The 3,766-nt window shown below is 33.2% G+C and overlaps 2 annotated features.

The window, feature by feature from the left end:
- Nucleotides 416-993: an enhancer, noted in NCBI's record as "OCT4-NANOG hESC enhancer chr7:82840511-82841088 (GRCh37/hg19 assembly coordinates)". NCBI's record gives its function as "activates a minimal SCP1, AML or CMV promoter by ChIP-STARR-seq in naive H9 embryonic stem cells {active_cell/tissue: H9 hESC(naive)}" and the evidence as "EXISTENCE:reporter gene assay evidence [ECO:0000049][PMID:30033119]".
- Nucleotides 994-1,570: an enhancer, noted in NCBI's record as "OCT4-NANOG hESC enhancer chr7:82841089-82841665 (GRCh37/hg19 assembly coordinates)". NCBI's record gives its function as "activates a minimal SCP1, AML or CMV promoter by ChIP-STARR-seq in naive and primed H9 embryonic stem cells {active_cell/tissue: H9 hESC(naive and primed)}" and the evidence as "EXISTENCE:reporter gene assay evidence [ECO:0000049][PMID:30033119]".

The raw sequence follows: 3,766 nt of genomic DNA on the forward strand, positions 1-3,766 counted from the left end.
GTACAGTGGCATGATTTGGCTCACTGCCACCTCCACCTCCTGGGCTCGCTTGATCATCCCACCTCAGCCTCCAGAGTAGATGAGACTACAGGCGTGTGCCACGAAACCCAGATTATTTTTTTTTAATTTTATTTTTGGTAGAGACAGGGTTTTACCATGTTGCCCAGGCTGGTCTTAAACTCCTGAGCTCAAGCTATGCCCCACCTGGGCCTCCCAAAGCATTGAGATTACAGGCATGAGCCACCATCCCTGGCCAAGAGCTTTTCTTTATGAAGTAGTTATGGCGGTTTTTATTTTTTTTGGTGGATGCTATTACTGTGTCACTTACTCCTATGTGGAATCTTAAATAATGTACTAAGTTTTTTTTTTTAACTATTTTTTAGAAGACTGTGCTAACCTGTATATTTTGCTTGCTGAATTCTTTTAGATGTTCTGCATACATAGAAAAGCAAAGTCGTATTTCATTACCTAGAGCATTATAAAAGCTTTATTATTTTTAATGACACCTTTATTAATTCATTTTTATATTATGATTGCAAACGAAAGGTAAGGTAGTCATTCTGCTTTAGGAAACAGCATCATTGAACTACTAGAAGAAAGTCAAAGTTCTACAATATTTAAAAATTACAGATAAAAACTGAGAAAGATAAACATTTGAGTGTTTACAGGTTGATAGAGGCCCTCTTCTGAAGTAAATGTAGACACCTTGACGAGCAGCAGTGAAAATTGCTGAACAGCTCCCATAAGTTACAACTAAAAATTAATGACAAAGAAAATGACTTTTTACTTCTTTTTAAAGTGCATAAAAATAAATTCTAGATTTAGAGAAGAAGCTAAAATTTGCTTATTTTTAAATTTAAGACAGAAAAGCAATAAATAATGCTTAATATAGTAAACTATGGTTGACGCTGAATTGCAAATATTTTTGAAGAAGAAATAAATAGTGACACAAATAAATAGGAAGTGTAGATTACATGATTGGGAAGTCTTGTTTCCAAAATCCCATCTCCAAGAAAGAGTGAATTGCTTGTGCTTAAGTCCTTAGCAACTCAATGTAGAAGCATCCTTTGCATTTCTTTAAAGTATTGTTTAGAAATGATTAGCCTGCAATGGCATTAATTGATTTTACTTTGAATGTATATTGAGCTCACCTGGTGAATTAAGTGAAAGAGGGAGAAAGTGAGAGAGACACAGAGAAAAAAAATTTAGCATAGAGCTAGTAATTTAGGGAGGCCTGACCTCACACTTATAAGCAATTTTATCATAAAAAATTATTTTAAAAATTATTTCTAAGGGTACACACTAAGTGATATGTTAGGGAGGTCTCAGTGTGTACCCACAAGGAAAATGTTAAAAACAAAACCAAAAAACAAACTATTCTAAAGTTATGTGAATGAGCAATTGGGCTTGTATAAAATTTCAAATGATATTCAAAACTTGCTGTATCTGAACAATTTAGTCAGTCAGAAATAAAGACAATAGGTTCTGAAAAATTGTTATATGAGTCCAAAAGTGCCTCTAGTACCAATAAAGGTACAATGTCAAATTTATGTGTGAAGACATTGAATAAAATAGTGTCATAAAATGTGAGAATAAAAATAATGTTTTGAAAAATGCTTTATATATGATATTTTTAGTATATTTATAGAAATAAATTTAAAAATGAAAGAACAGAATTTTATCTAGATCCATAAGAATACATATCACAATATCTGGGGGTTATTCTAATTAGGAAAATATGAACCTAAATTTGGCATCACCTAATAAATAACATAAATATTATTTAAAATTAAGTGAACATAATTAAGAAGAAAGTCATTTAAAATTTCTTATCAACTCTAAATTTCAGCTACATTTTTTCTCAATGTAAAACAGCACTGCAAAATATAGCCATATTTCCATGTGAAAAAAATTACATAGAAATGGTAAATTACCTTTTAATGATTAAAAAATTTAGGCAAATTACTCCATTCTTCAGTGCAAGAATTAAATTATATGATAAAATATACCTTAAAGGATTTTATTAAAAACTAGTATTTTAAAAAATAGATGAGGAAAAGTAAATTTTTATGATCATAATAGAACTTACATCTTTAAATTAAGACATATCTTTTGACATAAGTCCTTTGTTGATTCTCTTAAGTTATAACATCTTGGTGGACTTCTACAAAAGATGCTTGCAATTTAAGGATTTTTCTGAGATGCTAATTATTAAATGAGATATCACATAACTCCACTATTATTGATCTTAAAAAAATCAGAGAATTCAGAACACACAGCACAAACTGCTGAATCATGTATTATCTCTTTTAAACCGGTTCTTAGAAAATAGCCTGTCAGCATGGAGCATTTCTGGGAATGTGATCAGAGAGCACCTACCCGGCAGAAATTCTGAACATTTTTGACAGATAAATTTGAGCCTGAAGAGCTATTTTTATATTTCCCTCTCTTTAGTCAGAGTTTGGATTAATAAGCCTAAGGATATTTTATTGTATATAAGGTATCCTGATGGTCAACAAGAAGATACTAGCTTTCATTATCCCATCACATAATGTATGAGGAGAGTCAGAAAACATTGCTTTGTTTCTGCCTTCTTCAGGACAGGGCCTTCTTAAAAATGTGGATTCTTGTGCTCCATCCCAGACCAGATACCAGGAGCAAATATGTACTTTTTTAAAGCTCTTGGGTTTATTCTTACGTATTGTGAGGTATGAGTTCCATCTATTCAAAGAATAACAGAGTGACCTAATTTATATTAGTCTTTAATAGATATAATTATGCATATACCTGTAGAGGAGAGTATGAAATATGTCATTGTAGAGGAAGAAATCTATATAGATATGCTGTTTGTCCATTTATATTGAAGTGACTTTTTTAAAAATGAAAGATGTGTTTGAGAATCCTGTGAGATAATAGTGGCTGCTTACATCCCTTCCTAACAGTCCAAAAAGTCTCATGTATACATTGTAGATTAATAAAGCAAATAAAATCCCTGATGGCTCACACCTCTAGATAAACAGAAGTCTACACACCCAAATCTGCATGTTATTGAGAAAATAAATGCCAGAGATTGTCAGGAGACCAGCAGAGATGGCTCCAGAGTCCAGAACGAGTGGGGTGGGAGGTGATTGGGCAAAATAAAGGAAAGGGTCACAGGCTCTAGCAGCAATGGAGCACAGATAACATCAGTTAGGTTTTGTTCCCAGAAAGCAAAGGACTATCAGTAGAAACTACTGAAATAACTTCTATGTCAAGGTAAATGATAATCCTGGATACTGAGTACCTGAAGGGAAGGGTCCTGGAGAGTGTGCAGGATCTAATGTGGCAGTTTCAGGAAGGCACTGGTGCTGAGAAAGAAAGTGGCATCTTGGAAGGCACCAGACATTTTTGGAAATTTATTGGTGAAAGGACAAAACGAGGTTAAAAAAAGTTCTCAAAAAATTAGAAGAGGTCAGACATAACAAAAGGCACAATTTATTATTAATATAAGGAAACTATCCTTTACTCTAATAATTGAAGAAAGGAGCAAATGAACTGAAAAACTAAAGGAGTTGCATAGTTTCTCCCAACCACTTGCCCATAGGATCACCAGATATTGCTGATTCAGAAAAATATAACCCAATTAAAATAAAATAAACAAGAACAATTTCAATGTCATTCATATAAAGTTACTATAAACATTTTGGGAGGATGGGGTGGGAGGATTGCTTGAGGCCAGGAGTATGAGACCAGCCTGGGCAACGGAGCAAGGGCCTATCTCTACAAA

This window comes from Homo sapiens, chromosome 7 (assembly GCF_000001405.40).
Source record: "Homo sapiens chromosome 7, GRCh38.p14 Primary Assembly".
Lineage (NCBI taxonomy): Eukaryota > Metazoa > Chordata > Mammalia > Primates > Hominidae > Homo > Homo sapiens.